The 20113-nt window shown below is 36.2% G+C and overlaps 1 protein-coding gene and 1 long non-coding RNA gene across 21 annotated transcripts in view; one reads left to right on the top strand and one right to left on the bottom strand.

The window, feature by feature from the left end:
- Positions 1-20113, top strand: part of PHC3 (polyhomeotic homolog 3) — a 94150-nt gene that overhangs the window by 59676 nt on the left and 14361 nt on the right. For 16 of the 20 annotated variants that reach the window (XM_047448988.1, XM_047448987.1, NM_001438001.1 and 13 more), the window contains 5 exons: positions 4582-4832; positions 8539-8698; positions 15112-15226; positions 19124-19256; positions 19348-19579. In XM_047448988.1, the coding sequence (XP_047304944.1) occupies positions 4582-4832; positions 8539-8698; positions 15112-15226; positions 19124-19256; positions 19348-19579 (891 nt within the window). Of the gene's footprint in view, positions 1-4581; positions 4833-8538; positions 8699-15111; positions 15227-19123; positions 19257-19347; positions 19580-20113 lie in introns of those variants that run through there. The other 4 variants (NR_199370.1, NR_199371.1, XM_047448990.1 and 1 more) reach the window with 1 other exon arrangement.
- LOC105374209 (uncharacterized) lies at positions 254-19126 on the bottom strand. The gene is made up of 3 exons (XR_924699.3): positions 18383-19126; positions 16256-16402; positions 254-910 (listed from the first exon to the last, which is right to left on the bottom strand). It is a non-coding gene; the product is annotated as an uncharacterized LOC105374209 (long non-coding RNA).

Here is a 20113-nt window from a genome sequence, read left to right as displayed (position 1 = left end):
TCATCCCAAACTCCTGGGTACAAGTGATCCGCTTGCCTCGGCTTCCCAAAGTGCTGGGATTACAGGTGTGAGCTACCATGCCCAGCCTGGAAAATTCTTTAATAGCAGGGAAGCTCAATAGCTTATAAATTGTTCAGTACCATCCAGATGAAAACCTATCATTTCAGGCTTCTAATTTTTAGTGATTTGTGCAGACATGTTTCATATGCTCATTCACATTCATGTGTCAGACTATTTCTAGTTTAAAAATTAGAATAAATGAAAATTCTTTCAAAAGATTTAAATAATGCTTTCCAAAAATCATGAAGCATTCTAAGCCATATATGATATTCCTCACAATTGTTTGTGATTCAGACTGAGTAAGTGCTTTTAGACATGGATTAAAAAAATTCTTACCTGGACTTCTTGGTGCATGCCCGGAGTCCCAGCTTCGTCAGAGGCTGAGGTAGGAGGATGACTTGAGCCCTGGAGTTTGAGTTCAGCCTGTACAACAGAGCAACACTCTGTCTCTTAAAAAAAAGTTCTTGTGCTTAACCATTCAAATTCTTATTCACTATTTCAGTGCTGTTTATGAGTTCAAACAAATATCCCGTATGTGCCTCCTCACAAAGCTACTGTGTATTCTAGGTATTTTACTAAACACAAATGTTTCGTGTTATTTTTTTAAATTTATGAATGTTAGGATTAGAGGTTGGCACACTGCTCACTGTTCAGATCTTTTCTGCTGCCTGTTTTCTTTCTTTTTTTTAAGAGATAGGGTCTCACTATGTTGCCCAGGCTGGCCTCTAACTCCTGGGCTCATGTAATCCTGCCTCAGCCTCCTGAATAGCTGGTACTATAGGTGCTCTCCACCATGCATGGCTTGCTGCTTGTTTTTCTGTGGTCCAAGCTAATGATGGCTTTTACATTTCTGAATGATTGAAAACAAAAGAAGAGTAATAGTTCATGTCATGAAAATATATATAAAATTCAAATTTCGTTGTCCATAAATAAAGTTCTGTGAAACATAGCCACACACTCATTTGTTCAGATATTGTGGCTGCTTTTTACTAACCACAGAGTTGAATAGCCATAGAAACTCTACAGCCATTTATGGAAAGTTTGCTGACCCCTGATCTGAATAATACTAATCTTGGTTCCGGCTTTGTTGTACGTATTCTGTTCTGTTGAATATCTTATTGCCCTCATGATCATTTTCAGTTAAGAAGGACTGCTACAACAGGCATGGAAACAAACTCTTATGGGACCACTAACCCTGTCTGCCGTCCAGGCAACCCTTGCTCTCTGCTTTCTTTAGCGTGCCATATCCCCTTCCCTTCTTTTCTCTCGAGCTTCTATTCCCTCACTACTATTGTAAATCTCTAGAGAGCATAAAAGGGGAAATTTAATTTTCTTTTATCTTTTCCTCCTCCTGAAAAGTAGAAAACAGTCAATAAACTTATATAAAATATTTAAGGTGAGTTTTATATTATTGTTTTTTTTTTTGAGATGGAGTCTGGCTCTGTCGCCCAGGCTGGAGTGCAGTGGCATGATCTCGGCTCACTGCAACTTTCGCCTCCTGGGTTCAAGTGATTCTCCTGCTTCAGTATCCTGAGTAGCTGGGATTACAGGCGCCTGGCTAATTTTTGTATTTTAGTGGACACGGGGTTTCACTATGTTGGCTAGGTGGGTCTCGAACTCTTGACCTCAGGTGATCCACCCACTTCGGCCTCCCAAAATGCTGGGATTACAGACATGAGCCACTGCGCCTGGCCTATTATTGTCTTTTTATTCAAAGTAATACCTCATAAGACTTAAGAAAGTTTATAGTATTAAATCTTTGTGGTTTACACTGAAATGGATTTATGTTGCTGCGGATTAACTGGAGTTTTGATTTAAAGGCAGAAATGTAAGTTTTATTGCTAATCTGTCATGAGATTAGAGTTACCAAAAAAAAAGTCAGTTTTATTGAATAGTAAACTTACATTTTAGTTGTGATTTAATTACAAAATAAGCATTACTAATAGTACTTGAAGGAAGTTTAAACATTTCTGAAATATTGGAACACAAGAACGTCTTTCCATGTTTTCCTCAGGAATGTAGTCTGAGATCCTGACAAGCACATCTCTCTGGCTAAATTGTCAAAGTACAATGTAGACTTGCATCTTCCTCTAATTTACCTCATACTTATTACTCTTCTGTAATATTTGAGGGGGAACTAAAGCACAGGTTGATTTTTTTTTTTTTTACAGTAACTCATCAAATCTTGAAATAAACTAACTTGCAGAAATAGACTTGTTTCCATCTGAGATTCAGTTGTTATAAATCTTTAAAATTTTTTGAAAGTGAAAAGCATCTATACAAAAAGGTAGAAAAATCTCACATCTCTTGCTCAGTAAATGATACTGAGAATAGACAGATTTGTGGCAAAATTTTATCAGTTAGAACTTGGGTTTTCTCTCATACTTCTCTTAAATCTAGAGGGCGTAATAATTGTCTTTCTCTTCTATTGTAATACATGAGTGTTTCTCATGTTTTCGATTTTTACAACTTATGTAAATAGCTATTACCATCTTCAAAAAGTTAGTAATTTATAGCTCTATTTTGAACAAAATTTAGGACTATAAGTTTGGCACATTTATGCACATGATCTAGATATTAATTAGAATATACAGCAAGCATTATTTCTTGAACAAACCAAATTATACTTAGTGCAGCTTTATATTTTAAAAGTAAAGTATCTCTTATCTCTAAATCTGTAAGGGACATTAAAATTTTAATTTAGGTTTCAGTTCTCCATAGATTTATTTTTTCCATTCTATAGAAAAGTGCCTTTCAGTCCTACTTCAGAATTTTTAAATCTTTCATCCTTTGTCCCCTAGAAGTATGTATGAAGATTTGGTATGTGAGATAGGATTTTTGTGAAGTTCCTTAGTTTGATAATATGTTTGTACAATTGTGTATTTGTTCCTAGAAATCAGCACATTAACATTTTCTGCTGATTTTCTTTTCTTTTCTTTTTCTTTTTTTTTTTTTTTTTTTAGCTTTTTATAGATTGTGTGACTTTGTGTGACTTTAAACAGGTTTTCCAGTACGGTTTATTTTGGTGGATTATTTGGTGAAACTAGGTTAATTTATGGATATAACTGCTGTGAAGGCTGGGCATGGTGGCTTATACCTGCACTTTGAGAGGTGAGGCAGGAGGATCACTTGAGTCTAGGAATTCCAGACCAGCTGGGTGGCTTATACCAGCACTTTGAGAGGCTGAGGCAGGAGGATCACTTGAGTCTAGGAATTCCAGACCAGCTGGGCAACAAAGTGAGACCCCATCTCTACAAAAATCATTAAAAAAATTTATCCAGGCAGCCAGGCATGGTGAGTGGCTCACGCCTGTAATACCAGCAATTTGGCAGGCCGAGGCGGGTGGATCACAAGGTCTGGAGATAGAGACCATCCTGGCTAACACAGTGAAACCCCATCTCTACTAAAAATACAAAAAATTATCCAGGCATGGTGGTGGGTGCCTGTAGTCCCAGCTACTCGGGAGGCTGAGGCAGGAGAATGGCATGAACCCGGGAGGCAGAGCTTGCAGTGAGCCGAGATCGTGCCACTGCACTCCAGCCTGGGTGACAGAGCGAGACTCCGTCTCAAAAAAATAAAAATTTTCCAGGCAGGCATGGTGGCACACACCTGTGGTCCCACCTACTCAAGAGGCTGAGGTGGGAGAATCACCTGAGCCTGGGAGGTTGAGACTGCAGTGAGCCTTGATCATACCATTGGGCTCCAGCTTGGGCGACATGTACCTGGTCTCCAAAAAACATATAAATAAATAAATCTACTTGTTCTGTGGATTTCATGACCCCATTTCATTTAAGCATACTTTCAAAGTACTCCACTGCCCCACCTATACCATTTGGAATATATAAATAGGAACATAGGGGATTTAATAGCTTAAAATTAAGAAACATCAAAACAAAACCAAGCAACCATTTTAGTATAAATTATTTGTAAGTTTATATCTTAAAACATTTTCATGTCTCATGGGAACAATTTTGCTTTTTTTTTGAGACAGAGTTTCACTCTTGTCGCCCAGGCTGGAGTGCAGTGGCACAGTCTTGGCTCACTGCAGCCTCCGCCTCCTGGGCTCAAGTGATTCTCCTGTCTCAGCCTCCCAAGTAGCTGAGATGACAGGCGTGTGCCACCATGCTCTGCTAATTTTGTTTTTTTTTTTTTTGGTTTTTTTTTTAGTAGAGATGGGGTTTCACCATGTTGGCCAGGATGGTCTCGAATTCTCCTCAGGTGATCCACCCACCTTGACCTCCCAAAGTGCTGGCATTACAGGCATGCGCCATTGTGCCTGGCCCAATTTGTTAAAGGTCTGAATAACTTTGAGCAAGCTACCCTCCTCTATAAAGTGGAAATAATAGTCGCTTCTACCTTAGAAGATTATTGTACAGATTAAATGAGGTCTTAAGGTTCTTAGAACAGTTTTTGAAAGTACCAGATATTAACTGTTGTTATTATTTATTCCTTAATTCTCTTTCATTTGCTTGGGCAAAATGCTAAAAAAATTTTTAAATGACTTTTTGGTTTTTTTTTCAGAGCAAGTGGAATTACCTGCTGTGGCATCAGTCAGTGCTTCAGTAATTAAATCTCCATCAGATCCCTCACATGTTTCTGTTCCACCACCTCCATTGTTACTTCCAGCTGCCACCACAAGGAGTAACAGTACATCTATGCACAGTAGCATTCCCAGTATAGAGAACAAACCTCCACAGGCTATTGTTAAACCACAGATCCTAACCCATGTTATTGAAGGCTTTGTGATTCAGGAGGGATTGGAGCCATTTCCTGTAAGTAGCAAGCATATTTGTGTGTGTGTTTGTAATTTATATAACATTATTTTAAAAGTTACATATTACTGTTCTCTAATAAAAAGCTTGTAATTTTATTTCAAGAAAGTTGTCCATTTTAATCTAGCATTTATCTTTCTACTTCCTTTATTTCCAAATGTTTATGTAGAATTTTATGCCAGCTAAGTTTAGATGCATAAACTAAGGGAAAAAATGAAAAAAATTTCAGGACATATTTTTATAATTTTTAGAGAAAGGTAGTTGGAAGTTTATTCAGTGAAATCAACTTTTATATTTTTTCTTTCTTTTTTTTTTTAGACAGGATCTTGCTCTGTTGACCAGGCTAGAGTGCAGTGGTGCGATCATGGCTCACTGTTACCTTGACCCCTGGGGCTCAGTTGATTCTTCTACCTCAGCCACCTGAGTAGCTGAGACTACAGGTGTGCGCCACCGTGCCCCACTAATTTTTGTATTTTTTTGTAGAGACAAGGTCTTGCCGTGTTTCTCAGGCTGGTTTTTAACTCCTGGGGTCCCAAAGTGCTGGGATTACAGGTGTGAGCCATGGCATGGCGCTCGGCTCATTTTTTCTTTTTAAGGGAACTGAAATGACAGCTGAAGTGTACTACTATTTTTATTTTTATTTATTTATTTGAGTTTTTGAGAGAGAGTCTCGCTCTGTCACCCAGGCTGGAGTGCAGTGGCACTGTTTCAGCTCACTGCAACCTCTGCCTCCCAGGTTTAGGTGATTCTCATGCCTTAGCTACCTCAGTAGCTGGGACTACAGGCATGCACCACCACGCCTGACCAATTTTTGTATTTTTAGTACCGAAGAGGGGGTTTCACCATCTTGACCAGGCTGGTCTCAAACTCCTGGCCTCAAGTGATCTACCGCCTCAGCCTCCCAAAGTGCTTGGATTACAAGTGTGACCCACTGCACCTGGCCATAAAGTGTATTATTTTAAATCATCTGAAGTTACATCTGAAGCTACCCAATTGATGGTTTGTAATTAGCAAATATATTTTCTCATTCCTAAATTTCAGCCTTCAATCATATTTTTCAAATGCTTTAAAATGTCCCGCTCAAAATGAAGGTCCTCTATCACTACAGGTCTTACAACTTGAAGCTAAGCTGTACATAATTTGTATGCTAATATCTAGAGATAAACATTTTTCCTTAGAAAATATATCAAAGACAAGCATATATAAAAATATGAAAAATTTTTTGAAGGCCTTTTGAGTCATCTGGATTTTCAGATTCATGGGTGAAAATCTTGCATTATGATAGATAGCTACCCAATCAGTTGTTTTTGTGTTCAATTTCGTGTGTGTGTGTGTGTGTGTGTGTGTGAGAAACTTGGATTTCCTATAACAATTCTCATACAGTGGATGGAGGAACAGTCTTTTTTCCCTGTCTGCTCCATACTGACTGGGTAACCTTTGTCAAGTCATTCAAACTTTCTGATCTTTATTTTGCTTATTTGTCAGGTGGAGACGGTGCTTTGCTCTTAGAGTTGTCGAGAGAACTAAATGTGCATAAATTATTCTGTATGGTACCTGGCACTTCATGGCCATAGCCATTATTATCTGTTATCACTAGTGAGAGCCATAACTTTTATTTTCACATTATAAAACTAATACATGTTCTAAATGGAAGATTTGGGAAATGTACAGGGCAAATGATCCCCATTAATACCACAATATGTTTATGTCTATATATACCACAGTACACATTAATACCACAGTATGTATATGTGTATACATATGTATTGTGGTATATATGTACATATGTATTGTATATATGTACATATACATACTGTGGTTTTAATGTATATGTGTTTGTGTATATAATGTATATATGTTATAGATACATACATATAATCAAGATTATGGTACATACAGTTCTCCTTTCACTGAGGAAATTTGAGTATTTTCTCATTATTAATAGTATTGGAAACATTTTGAAAGGTTACATAATATTTCACTTTATGAACATCCATAATTTATGTAATCTTTCCATTATTGTTGGACATTAGGTTTCCATTTTTTCACTGTTCAAATAGTTCTGAAAGGAATATCTATATATATAAATCATACACATTTTAAATAAGTTTCTTAGTATGAATTCCTAGAAATAGAGTTATTATGTCATATTACATAGATATTCATAAGACTCTTGATACGTATTGCTGAATTATTTTTTGGAAAATGATTTAAATTTATTCATCTGTGAGAAGTGTATGCCCTTAGCATTGAATGTGAGTTTTTCTTTAAGCAATAACTTCTGTAAATTTTAATTTCACTTGAGGCATATTAAATATCTAACTCAAATGAACAAAATGTTTAAAAAGTTTGTGAGTAATTATACTCTAAAGTTAAATGTAGAAGTTTCTGTCCAATAAGCTGTTGTTCCCCATATGTGGCAGATATTGGAGACTTAACCAGCATTCTTGAGGAATAAGATGTTCTAGTCATTCTGTTTTTTAAATTAGCTGAGGGCTCACCAGTGAATCAATGAATATATTTGATCTGAGTTGTTTTTGTTGAAAATACTTCTAAAATAGGTAGTATTCCTGAGTTAACCAAGTATACTGAATATAAGTGAATATTTTGATGTTAATTTGTTAATATTTGAGGATTTTCCATTTCTTTTGTGATTATAGTGGATTAGTTTGCTAAACTAGGATTCAGGAGACTTGAGTTCTAGTCCTCATTCTGTTTTTGTAAACAAATCACCTAAACATTTTGAATTTTAGTTTTCTTATCCAGAAAATACATCCAATAATTTTGTCTTGATCATTAACCCTACAAATAAAAAGCTTTGTGCATGAAAAATCTTAATTAGTTGAGGATACTGGCATGTCAGCATTTACTGATGATCTTTTGTTTGTCTTGCATTCGTATGGAAAACACTAAAATTGGCCGGGCGCAGTGGCTCACGCCTGTAATCCCAGCACTTCGGGAGGCTGAGGTGGGTGGATCACCTGAGGTTGGGAGTTCGAGATCAGCCTGACCAACATGGAGAAACCCCGTCTCTACTAAAAATACAAAATTAGCCAGGCGCGGTGGCACATGCCCGTAATCCCAGCTACTTGGGAGGCCGAGACAGGAGAATCACTTGAATCCAGGAGGTGGAGGTTGTGGTGAGCCAAGATTGCACCATTGCAACAAGAGCAAAACTGTGTCTCAAAAAGAAAGAAAGAAAAAACGCTAAAATTTATAAAGGAAAAAAGTTAGTCTCCACAAAGAACTTGAGAGAGAATTGCTTAATTGAGTAGACTTTTTAAAGTTAAAAAAAAAACCCAACTCTTAAATATACTGACAGTTATTGCCTTTGTTTTTCAGTGTTGGACTGAGCTACCAAAATATTTGCAGTGCAGGATAACTGGATGATTAGTATTAATTCTGAAGATAAAGAATTGCTGAATATTAAGACTTTTTTTTCAAAAACTCCTTGCCTAAACTCAGACAATAGGTTCCATTTGACAGAGACTTTGAAGCAGCTGTACTGCTGGTGACCAGAAATAAACCATTCATGTCCACTCTGCCTCATCTTTTCCCAAGGAATAAGGCACTTACTAAATGGATCTGATCAGTTGAACTAGTAAATTATCACAAATAGGTTTCATTTTAAGAGTTTTTTAAACCAAAGTATTTCTGAATGTCTTTTTGGAGATTGTTTCATTTTATTATTTCTCCTTTTTTAAAGGTGAGTCGTTCCTCTTTGCTAATAGAACAGCCTGTGAAAAAACGGCCTCTTTTGGATAATCAGGTGATAAATTCAGTGTGTGTTCAGCCAGAGCTACAGAATAATACAAAACATGCGGATAATTCATCTGACACAGAGATGGAAGACATGATTGCTGAAGGTTTGTGGGTTTCACTTAAGATACCCTTTAATTTAACTTTGACTTTTACTGCTTAAAACAGGATGTGGATTTTTATTCTGTACAGAATTTCACTGGAAGTATTCAACTTTTATTTTCATATAATGCACCATTTGACTAAAATAATGGGAAAGCTAATCAGACTCTCAATGGTCACATAACTAAAATAGCAAGATTAGTGCTAATTTCTTCAATGTCAGTTTGACTTTTGAAGGAGTGTGAGTGGGAAAAGTTCCATCATATGTGAGAGAAGGCAATTCAGAATTTTAGTATCAAAACAATCAATTTTCTTTCTTTTTTAAAGCAGACTTAAGTAACAAATGAGTATTTTAGTGAGTTAGCTTAAAATTTTAGAGCTTCTGGGTTGTTTCGTTTCAGACTTTCTGCATGCTGATGTTTGACATCAGGTGGATATTATAATTGTATTAAGTATATACTCTTCATTCAAGAGGTGGTTACATTTGTTCAACGAGAAAACTCCTTTTTTATAGACTTTATTCTAATAAAGAATGAAATAAGGCCAGGCACGATGGCTCATGCCTGTAATCCCAACACTTCGGGAGGCCGAGGCAGGCAGATCACTTGAGGTTAGGAGTTTGAGACCAGCCTGACCAACATGGTGAAACCCCGTCTCTACTAAAAATACAAAAATTAGCCAGGTGTGGTGGCATGCACCTGTAATACCAGCTACTTGGGAGGCTGAGGCAGGAGTATTGCTTGAACCCCAGAGGCGGAGGTTGCAGTGAGCTGAGATTGCGCCACTGTGCTCCAGCCTGGGTGACAGAGCAAGACTCCATCTCAAAAAAAAAAAAAAAAATAGGCCAGGCGCGGTGGCTTATGTCTGTAATCCCAGCACTTTGGGAGGCTGAGGTGGGTGGATCACAAGGTCAAGAGATCAAGACCATCCTGGCCAACATGGTGAAACCCCATCTCTACTAAAAAAAAATATATATATATATATAAATTAGCTGGGCCTGGTGGTGTGTGCCTGTAATCCCAGCTACTTTGGAGGCTGAGGCAGGAGAATCGCTTGAACCAGGGAGTCGGAAGTTGCAGTGAGCCGAAATTGTGCCACTGCACTCCAGCCTGGCGACAGAGCTAGATTCCGTCTCAAAAAAAAAATGAAATAAAGTAAATAGAAGTCCAAGTGGTATCCAAAATGACTGAAGGAAAGCAAACAAAAATGAAAATGAAAACGGTATTTTATACCTTGAATTTGCTATTTAAAAGCAGCAAAGTTTTTACTGTTTTTTGGGCTGAGATTCTGAATTGCCGTGTTCTATAGGAGCATCTTTTTGATCATGGCCCTTCAGGTGATAGAGTTCAGTTTAATGCAGTAGCATTTAGAATAGTCAAGGCCCTGTAGTAGTGAATTAACACTTGTGTCTAAGTAATTATCCTCAATGTATTAGTATATTTCATTAAAATTAATTTATTCACTTTACAAATATTTATTGAGCCTATACTGTGTGCCTTTACTTCGCTAAATTAAGCGAAATAGCATGCTGGTAAGCAAACTAGATACTGTCTTTGCCCACAGATTTTCTAACTTAAAAGGATGACATCTCTGACATTGTTAGCTCTTTATAAACTGTTGCAACATGTGAATCACCGTTTTACTTCTTATTTGAACAGCAAGGAGTATATTAGTTTAAAATTTGATTTTTACTACTTATTCTGAGTTCAGTTTGATTGGTTTTAATTTGAAAGAATGTTAACCTTGAAAAATTTCAAACATTCATTAGAATCGTATAATAAATCCCCAGTCACCCAGACTCAACATTATCACCCAATTTCAACATTATTTTGCCACAGTAGCTTCATTCATTTTGTTTCCTTCCTCCATTCCTAACCCCCACCCTTCTTTTTTCTTCTCTCTTCTCCTCTCTTCTCTTCTCTTTCCTTTCTTTCTCCTTCCTTCTTTCCTTCCTTCCTTCCTTCCTTCCTCTTTCTTTCTCTCTCTTTCTTTCTTTTTCCTTCCTTCCCTTTCCTTTCCGTTCTTTTGTTCTTTCGTTCGTTCGTTCCTTCCTTCCTTCCTTCCTTCCTTCCTTCCTTCCTTCCTTCCTTCCTTCCTTCCTTCTTCTTGTTTTAAAGAAAATCGTAGTCACCGGTACATACGTCAGTGTGCCTCTCTCAAAATAATACACATTTCCTTATAATGCCATATCACACATAGCAAAATAATAATTCTTTGGTGTTATATAATACCTGGCCAATATTCATATTTCCCTAACTTTTTAAAGTCATTTTATAGTTATTTAGTTAAATCAGGTTCCAAATAAGGTCTGTATTGTGCCTTTTGTTTTTGTGAATTTCATTTCCTTTAATTCTCAAATACTGTCTTTTAATTGCACATACTATTTTATCTGAGAGCATTCTCATGTGAAGTGAAAAGTAACAAAGAATGTGCAGGTATTCTTTTTTTCTTGGCCTATATCTACAATATGTATATAAATGAAAGTTCTAGGCTAAAAAGTATTTATAATGTGTCTCCCTGTGTACACAATAGGAAGAACATGGAAATCTGCTTAGGAAACTTTACAACATATAGTGTGATCCTCAGTTTATAATATAATGGACATATAGTATATGTTAGACTATTCTAGAACATGACAGGTTATGTATGTATATATTATTTACATACATAAAGAAGTAAAATACAATCCGCTTTCCCTCCAGCAGCTTTTAATGTAGTTTGGAACTAGGAATCTAGGGAATCTCCATACAGAAAGGTAACGAAGGAGCTACAGATGGTATAGTCACACTGAATTATATAGACAGAATTTAGAACTTTAAAACTGGCTAAGATTATTCCTAGTTTGGTGGGTTTCCTATAAAAATGAGATTTGAAGTGGGTCGTGGATTTAATGCATAGATTTAGGATAAACAGCGAGAACATTTCAGATTAGAACACTAAGTAAACGCACTAAGAATGTGTAAGTGCTAGGTAACTTCGAGAGAGGGCAGTGAAGAGTAGAGGGTTGGATTAGAGGGGTAGTGGGAAGTATGACTGGCAGAGTGAGTTTCTGGAGAACCTTGGATATTAGACAAGCAAGTTTGAAGTTAGGTGGATGGTTTGAAGGTGGGTGGATAGTACTGAAGATTTTTAGGAAGGTGTTACGAATAAAAGAGTGTTTTTGGAGACTTTGATGGCCGTCTGTAGGATGTATGTATAAATTTTGCATGTAATTGACACCTGTAGTCATGGCAGGAAGAGGAAGGAAAGGACTGATGTTCTCAAAGGAAAGGACTGATGTTATCATATCAGCAGGATATGATATCAGAGTAAGGAAAGGAAGATGTAGAGATAATATATTTCATAGGGGAGAAATGTTTACATAAAATGTGCTAAAATTTTAAATACTTTCTAGTTTTAATTTCCCAAGGTAATTTTATAATTTTCATGTTTCTGTTACTATGTACTTCAGTGTTTATAGGAAGTACTATAGTGTAAAATGGTGAGGTCACTTATTTAGTGGCTTTGGTTTTAGTAGTATATATAGTTTCAACATAAAAAACCTCTGGTAAGCATATAAAGGATAAACTGTGGTTCTCTTTAGACTGGTTCTATAATGAGAGTCTCCAACCAGTAGATTGTGATTCATCAAAGTAGCTTATGGTCTTCCTTGGTATATCTTCACACTGATTATGATTTCCATCTCATTGCCTCTTTTTGCTGCTGTCCTCATGTGATTTCAGGTCTTTGGGGGAAATAAAAAATAACTTCCCCTCATGCCAGAAAATGGGGGATCTAGATTAGGAAGCAGGTTTGGCCACTTCAGTAGAGATCCAGAATAATATTTGATTAAAGAAGATAGGAATTTAATTTTCTCTGACATAACCCAAAGATCAGTCCAGGGCTTATGTGGTAGTTCCTTAGTATTGGGCACTCAAGCTCCAGGGTCTTATGTCTCTGTCATCTGTAGAATGTTACTTTTATTTCCAAGATGGCTGATCTTCATGATCACATTCTAACCAATGAGATGGGGGAAAGAGCACCATCTGGAATTTGTGAGCATTTACAGTCATATGCCATTGGTTACAAATCAGCCACACCTAGGGCAGAAACTTGTTTTTAATCTGGGTGGCCATGTTCGTAGGGTTTTGTTACTATGGGAGAAAAGCAAAGAGTGGATGCTGGAGAATTACCAGCTGTCTCTGCCATAGAATCCCATTTTTATTAGCTAAATCAGCAGTTTTAAAAAAGTGTTTTGGCAGTTTTCTAATTCATAAATGTAAAAGAGTGACCTTGGTAATATTACCAAATTTGTTAAAAATCTGACTGAACATTAGAACAAGAATTTTTGAATCTGTTAATGTCCCTCGCTTCTTTATGAGAAATAAAACTTATACTACTCTTATTTTTGTTCGGTTAACTGTAAACCATTTCTGTTTGGTATTTCCTCTCTGTCACCAACAAAAACATTTCCTTCTCCTTCATAAGGTATTCTGACTTAATATCAGGTGTTGGACATTGCTATGTTAATTAACAAAAGATCTTTGAAACAAAGCTTTTAGCATATCCTGTTCCTGGAATAACCCTGAGGAATGGACTCTTTCAGGGCTGGAACTAATGGCAGTGGTGGTTGAGTGAGAAGTTCTGTCTCCCTATAGGCTTCTCAGTCAGATCAGATTATAGTAAGATCAGATTATAAGCATGACAAAATAAAAACAGTACTTCTAGGAATTATGTTTTCAGGTCTCAGGAATGTGTTGGTGGATCTCCTGACTGGGCCGTTGGAAGGTCATTGGAAGGGGCAATTTTTAATTTACTTGTTTTGAGACTGTTTCTTCCTCATTGCTACTAAATTGATGACTTTTGCTTATGAAGGTAGTCCTGAGAATTTCCTTAAACTGGTCACGTGTCAGTTCATGATTTCATTATTCAGGATAATGTATTTGGATGCCCCACCAATGTCAAATATTAATTCACAGTTTGTTTTTTTAGTAGTTCTTGCTACTTCACTTAATTTAGCACTTTGCCATCTGCTTCCCCAGTAAAACTGAGGTAATGTGAGTACCTGAGCTCACTGAGTACATGCCACCCATGTCTACATTTCTGAGTCCTTGTATTTATCTTAGTCTTTATTAAATGAGTAACATAGAAAGAGCACACATATGGAGTTCACAGCTAAAAGCTTTAGTTAGTAAAATGCTTTTCAGTAAAATGCTTTTGTTGCTTTTTTTAATATGACTTGGCAGAGGAATTATGATGATGCAAGAAAATGGCAAAATGTGGTTGATTTAAGAATTTAACAAGTTTTACCAAAGTATTTCTTGAGCGCTATTACATGTCATACTACCCTTTTAGTTCTTATGTGGAAAATAGGAAATGGAACTATCACTTTTAATGCCTACTACCTTTTGGGCACACATATAATTGCCACTTCAATTCTTTGGGAAATGTATTATAAACCCCATTTTACAGATGAGAAAATTGTGGGTCATGAAGATTTAGTTGTTTGCTTATGGGTGACTCCTGCCGAGTACCCGGGGATTTAGCATGGAAGGGTCTTTGCGCTTTGTGTTACTGCCTGAAGATAGTTACATATGTAGGGTGGAAGAAGGACATTCTAACTTAGTAGGGAGCACCCATTAAGTTAAAGAAAAGCATGATGAAAAAAAGCATCAGTGGTTGGGAATTATGAAACTGATTTTTAAGCCTAGTTTTTATTTTAATGCAATATAACTAAAAGGAACTGTTTTATAATTAGATATATGCATCTTTTTAAAGAATTTTATGTATGTATATATATGTATGAATGAGATGGGGTCTTGCTATGCTGCCCACACTGGTCTCAAACTCCTTGTCTCAAACGATTCTTCTGCCTCAGCCTCCTGATATATGCATCTTTATATATTTTATCATATACTGCAGATCTTCGAGAGAGTTAATTATTTTGCATGCTCCTGTAAAATCAGACATATCACAATTTCACCATTTTGAAGCCATCTTTATTCTCTCCAGTTAGAATTAAGAGTTCCCTGCTATGTATCTCCACAGTGCAATTTATCAAAATTCATATCCCACCCTCAGCTTTTTGAAAGTGTTCCTCCTGGAGGATAATGCCTATGTTATTCATCTTCATTTCTCTCCCAGTGTTTATAAATAATTTTTTTTTACATTTTAGATGGATTGTAAGCAAGATGAACCTTTTAAAATGTTATGCTTATTTATATAGAAAGAAACTCCTTGTAATTTTTATGCAGAAGCAAGAGGGAATTAGTAGCAGTGGTTGTGTTTTGAAGGCTTTTGCCCTGCCAGAGTGGCTGTGGATTGAAAAGTTAAAGGGCCATTGGTTTGCTAGCAGTATCCAACCAAAGTATAGACTTAAAGAAAATTTGCATAATTAAATTTTTGGAACCTTTTTTTCCTTTGTTTCCTTCTTTTTTAGAGACATTAGAAGAAATGGACAGTGAGTTGCTCAAGTGTGAATTCTGTGGGAAAATGGGATATGCTAATGAATTTTTGCGGTCAAAACGATTCTGCACTATGTCATGTGCCAAAAGGTATTTCTGTGCTCTTGAATTTCCCAAAGGACAGATAAATAGCCATTGCAACTAAACCAAAAAACCCTTGAATAGCTTACCAAGGATAACTATAGATATTTTAATATGTAATATTATAGAAGAAACCTAGATATTATTATATAGAAGAATAATACAAATAGGCAGTATCTGGAGCCACCTAGTATTTAGTTACTAGATTTTGCTTTGCGAAAATTACATATTCATAATACTTAAAATCAATTGTACAGTATAATCTAATATTAAAGTAGTAATCTCCTGATGGTAAGAATATATTTAGGAGAATCCCTTCAATGAAGTCATCACGATTTCATCATGATTATATAATACTAGTCCTTAAAGTATCAAAAACAGTATTTGTTTTATCAGCTGTTTTATCATTATTGAAATACTTTGATTTACTTTGTGTTGTTTTAAAATGTTTTCATTTGTTTGAATCATCCTATTTATTTTAGATTTCTTATGGGACAGCTGTAGTATAAATTCCCCACACTGTTAACATTATCAGACAGCAAAATACTTGTCTTTTCTGAATTAGTATTTTCAATAGTCATTATTTCAGATAAGTAGTATTTTTTTGTTTGTTCGTTTGTTTGTTTTTGGATATAGAGTCTTACTCTATAGCCCAGGCTGGAGTGCAGTGGTGCCGTCTCGGCTCACTGCATCCTCCACCACCCAGTCTCAAGAGATTCTCCTGCCTCAGCCTCCTGAGTAGCTGGGATTACAGGCACCTGCCACCATGCCCAGCTAATTTTTGTATTTTTAGTAGAGATGGGGTTTCACCATGTTCGCCAGGCTGGTCTCAAACTCCTGACCTCAGGTGATCTGCCCGCCTTGGCCTCCCAAAGTGCTGGGATTACGTGTGTGAGCCACCACGCCTGGCTGATAAATAGTATTAATAACAAAATAAATGTTTAGTCTCTTCATTAATCGTATAATTCCCAAGTTTGGTTTATGTTAAAGAACCCCACCCTAATTCCAGTAATAAATCCTAGTAATACAGATACTTACCACTAAAGTTGAAGTGTGTGCACACTATTTTGAAATTGGTTCTCTGTTCAAAAAGGTAATTATTCTTTCAAAGGATTTAAGATCTTCAGTAGGATGACTATAGCTTGTACTGTATTTCAAAATAGGTAGAAGAGAATTGGAATGGTTCTAGCATGAAGAAAAGACAAATGTTTAAGATGTGGATATCCCAAGTACACTGATTTGATCGTTACAGATTATATGAATGTATTAAATTATCACACATACCCTAAAACTATGTACATCTATTATGCATCCATAAAAAATAAATAACCTTAACCTCATGAAAAAAATTAATATAATTGCATACATCTAGGGAATTTCTTACTTGAATATTTTATTTCGTATAGGTTATTTCCAAAATATACTTAGTAAAACTTAAGTTAAATAATAGAAGTGTTTTCCTCCAAAATTGGGCTCATTGTTTTGGTTGTCAATCTGTTTTTCAAATATGCTTTGATGTTACTGATAAATCAATAATCAAATTATGTAACTCATGTTTTAACTTGAGTTTTCTAGTTTGCATATACCACAAGAAAGAACAATGGTTATCTGATTCTAAGTGATTTAAAAACTCTAAAAATTTGGGGAAAGGACTCCCTTTCAGAATATTTTAAACTTCTTGACTATTTAAAAATATTTGAGAACACTTAATGCTGCCATCAGTCTTCTCTCAGAGATGATTGCTGAGCTGTCACATTAGTATCCTTTCGATGAACCTCTTTAGCAGGGTAGGGGCCCTAACAGGGAAATGTGGATGAGAGAGGGTAGATTAGGTCAGGGAAGAACCATTGCCATTTACATGTCTGCCTAGCTGTCTTGGAAAGCTAAATATTTAGGGACAAAATATCAAGTATAAAGCTAGCCTCTTTTCTATTCTTTTCTTAACGGATAAAGAAGTTTTATCAGTTGATATAAATGGAAATCAGAAACCTACATTGCTGAGCCCACAAATGAGCACATTATGAACACAGCAGGATCTCGAATTGTTTTAGGGTAAAATGAATTGGCTATCAAGATACTTATATTTTTATGGGAAAAATAGCATATTCATTATCATAGTACTTTTTATTTCCACCTCTTGATATCTTTATAAAATGTAGGTGAGGAGAATTTGTTTTGGTGTCAGCATACTGGTTCTAGAATAGTTAGCAATAGCAAAGTTAATTGGGATTTATTCTTGTAACTTTCTTGGAGCAAAGGAATTTTGAAGGGTAGGTGTGGTGGCACATGCTTGTAATCCCAGCACTTTGGGAGGCTGAGGTGGGAAGATTGCTTGAGCCCAGGAATTTGAGACCCACCTGGGCAACATAGTGAGACCCCCATCTCTACAAAACAGATTTTTGAAAATAGGTTACCAAGGCGTTTCATATATGTAAAAATGAAACTGCATATATTTTTCCTAGCTTTGCATAGCTTTTCAGAAATTTGTTTCTTAGATCATTTCTTCTCACTCTTCTTTCTAGGGAAAGGTTGGCAAACTCACCCAGGCCAGGTCTTTCCCATTGTTCATTTTTTTGTATGGGCTCATGAGCTAAGGATGATTTTGAAATTTTTAGTTTGTTGGGAAAAAAATCAAAATAATATTTCATGATACATGAAAATTATGTGAAATTCAAATTTTACTGTTATTGTTACTGAAAATTTTACTAGAACACAACCATGCTTATTCAATATTTTCTATTTATTTTTTATTTTTTTATTTTTATTGTTTTGAGTCAGGGTCTGGCTCTGTCACCTGTGCTGGAGTGCAGTGGCGCTATCACAGCTCACTACAACCTTGGCCTCCTGGGCTCAAGCCATCCACCCACCTTAGCCTTCTAAGTAGCTGGGACTACAGGTGTGTGCCAGCACACCTGGCTAGTTTTTGTATTTTGGGTAGAGACGGGTTTTCACCGTGTTGGCCTTGAACTGGTCTTGCCATTTACTGGTCTTGAACTCTGGAGCTTAAGTAATCCACCCACCTTGGCCTCCCAAAGTGCTGGGATTACAGGTGTGAGCCACTGGGCCTGGCTCAGGGTATTTTCAATGGCTGCTTTCACACTACAGTGGCAGAGGTGGGTAGTTGTGACAGAAACTTATATGGCCCATGAAACTTAAAATATTTACCATCTAGTCCTTTGTAGAAAAAGTTTGCCAGTCCTGGTTCCAGGGCTTTAGGATCCATTAAAAGACATAGGATTCTTTTAAGCTGTCATCATGTCTTATAAAGGTCTATGTTCAAAAATACTAGGCAGTCTATTGTGATAAAAGAAAATCTTTCATTAAAGAGTTATATACTTCTAAATTTTCTGAATAGTGAGAGCAATGAATTCCTTGTGTAACTTTAAAATCTCCACTTTACATTTTCATTCTTTGATTTTAATAATATTTGAAAAATCTTTTGTTAGCTGCTTGAGATCCTCTCCCTAGTATATTAAACTTTTAAAAATTAATGTCTCTTTGGAAGTTATTACTTAGAAAAATCAGATTGAATAAACATTTAGATACTACATAACTTCTTTTTCTTTCGGAACCTTCCATTTTTTTTACTGCTATGAAAATTGGTTATCCTCTGTATTTTGCAGGCAGTTTCCCACTGTCATGCTGTAATCAGGAAAAAATACAATACCTTGTTATAGATGTCCAGTATTATATTGAGAGATATATTATGGTATACACAGAGCCTGTTTTTTGACCTTTAGCATAAGTAAATCCATTGAACAGTGTAGTTACTTTATGAGGTCTTACATTCATTAATGATGTATTGTGGTACTTACTGATTCACAGTTGCACTTTAAAGTCACAATTAAATACTAAATGGATTGTCCCATATATCATTAAATATTTTTTCTTTCTTGAATTTCTTAGGTACAATGTTAGCTGTTCTAAAAAATTTGCACTTAGTCGTTGGAATCGTAAGCCTGATAATCAAAGTCTTGGGCATCGTGGCCGTCGTCCAAGTGGCCCTGATGGGGCAGCGAGAGAACATATCCTTAGGCAGGTCTGTATAAACCTTGCTTCAATGTAAAATACCCTTTTCAGAAATGCAAGGAAAGTGCAATGCTGTATTTTGCTTGTACTACATTTTCCAGCTTCCAATTACTTATCCATCTGCAGAAGAAGACTTGGCTTCTCATGAAGATTCTGTGCCATCTGCTATGACAACTCGTCTGCGCAGGCAGAGCGAGCGGGAAAGAGAACGTGAGCTTCGGGATGTGAGAATTCGGAAAATGCCTGAGAACAGTGACTTGCTACCAGTTGCACAAACAGAGCCATCTATATGGACAGTTGATGATGTCTGGGCCTTCATCCATTCTTTGCCTGGTATGTAATTCATCACTTTGGCCTTAATATTTTTCTTGTGCATTCACACACAGCAATGTTAGATACATCCACACCTTTTGCACAAAAGGGCTAGAGAAGTACTGTGTATATGTATAAATAAAATGACATTTGTTATTGAAATATGATCTGTTTCCTCTTGCTTATTCCCTCAGCACTACTGGGTATTTTCTCATACCCCCCAAGTCGATAAAAACTGACTAGTCCTGCTTCTGCTGTGACACCTCAGCCGGTGAAGATATTAAAGGTGCTTTCTTCTCTTCAGTCTGATTTCTCTCGAGAGGTCAGTAGAGAGATTGAATCAGACACTTCTTCCTTTCTGCTCTTCTATTTTTCTATTCTATTCCTCCTTATTTCCTAATTTAACCTTTTAAAAAATGAAGTAAGAGAGACTTTTTTCTTTTTTTTACATTTTTGAAAGCTAATCAAAACCTTTTAAAATGTAAAAATTTGGTTTCTTTGAAAAAATCAAGCTAGTCCTTTTAAAAGAAGGTACATTCTTTGATTCTTTTCAAT

This window comes from Homo sapiens, chromosome 3 (genome assembly GCF_000001405.40).
Source record: "Homo sapiens chromosome 3, GRCh38.p14 Primary Assembly".
NCBI classification, from domain to species: domain Eukaryota; kingdom Metazoa; phylum Chordata; class Mammalia; order Primates; family Hominidae; genus Homo; species Homo sapiens.
This window is presented reverse-complemented; position numbering and strand designations above follow the sequence as displayed.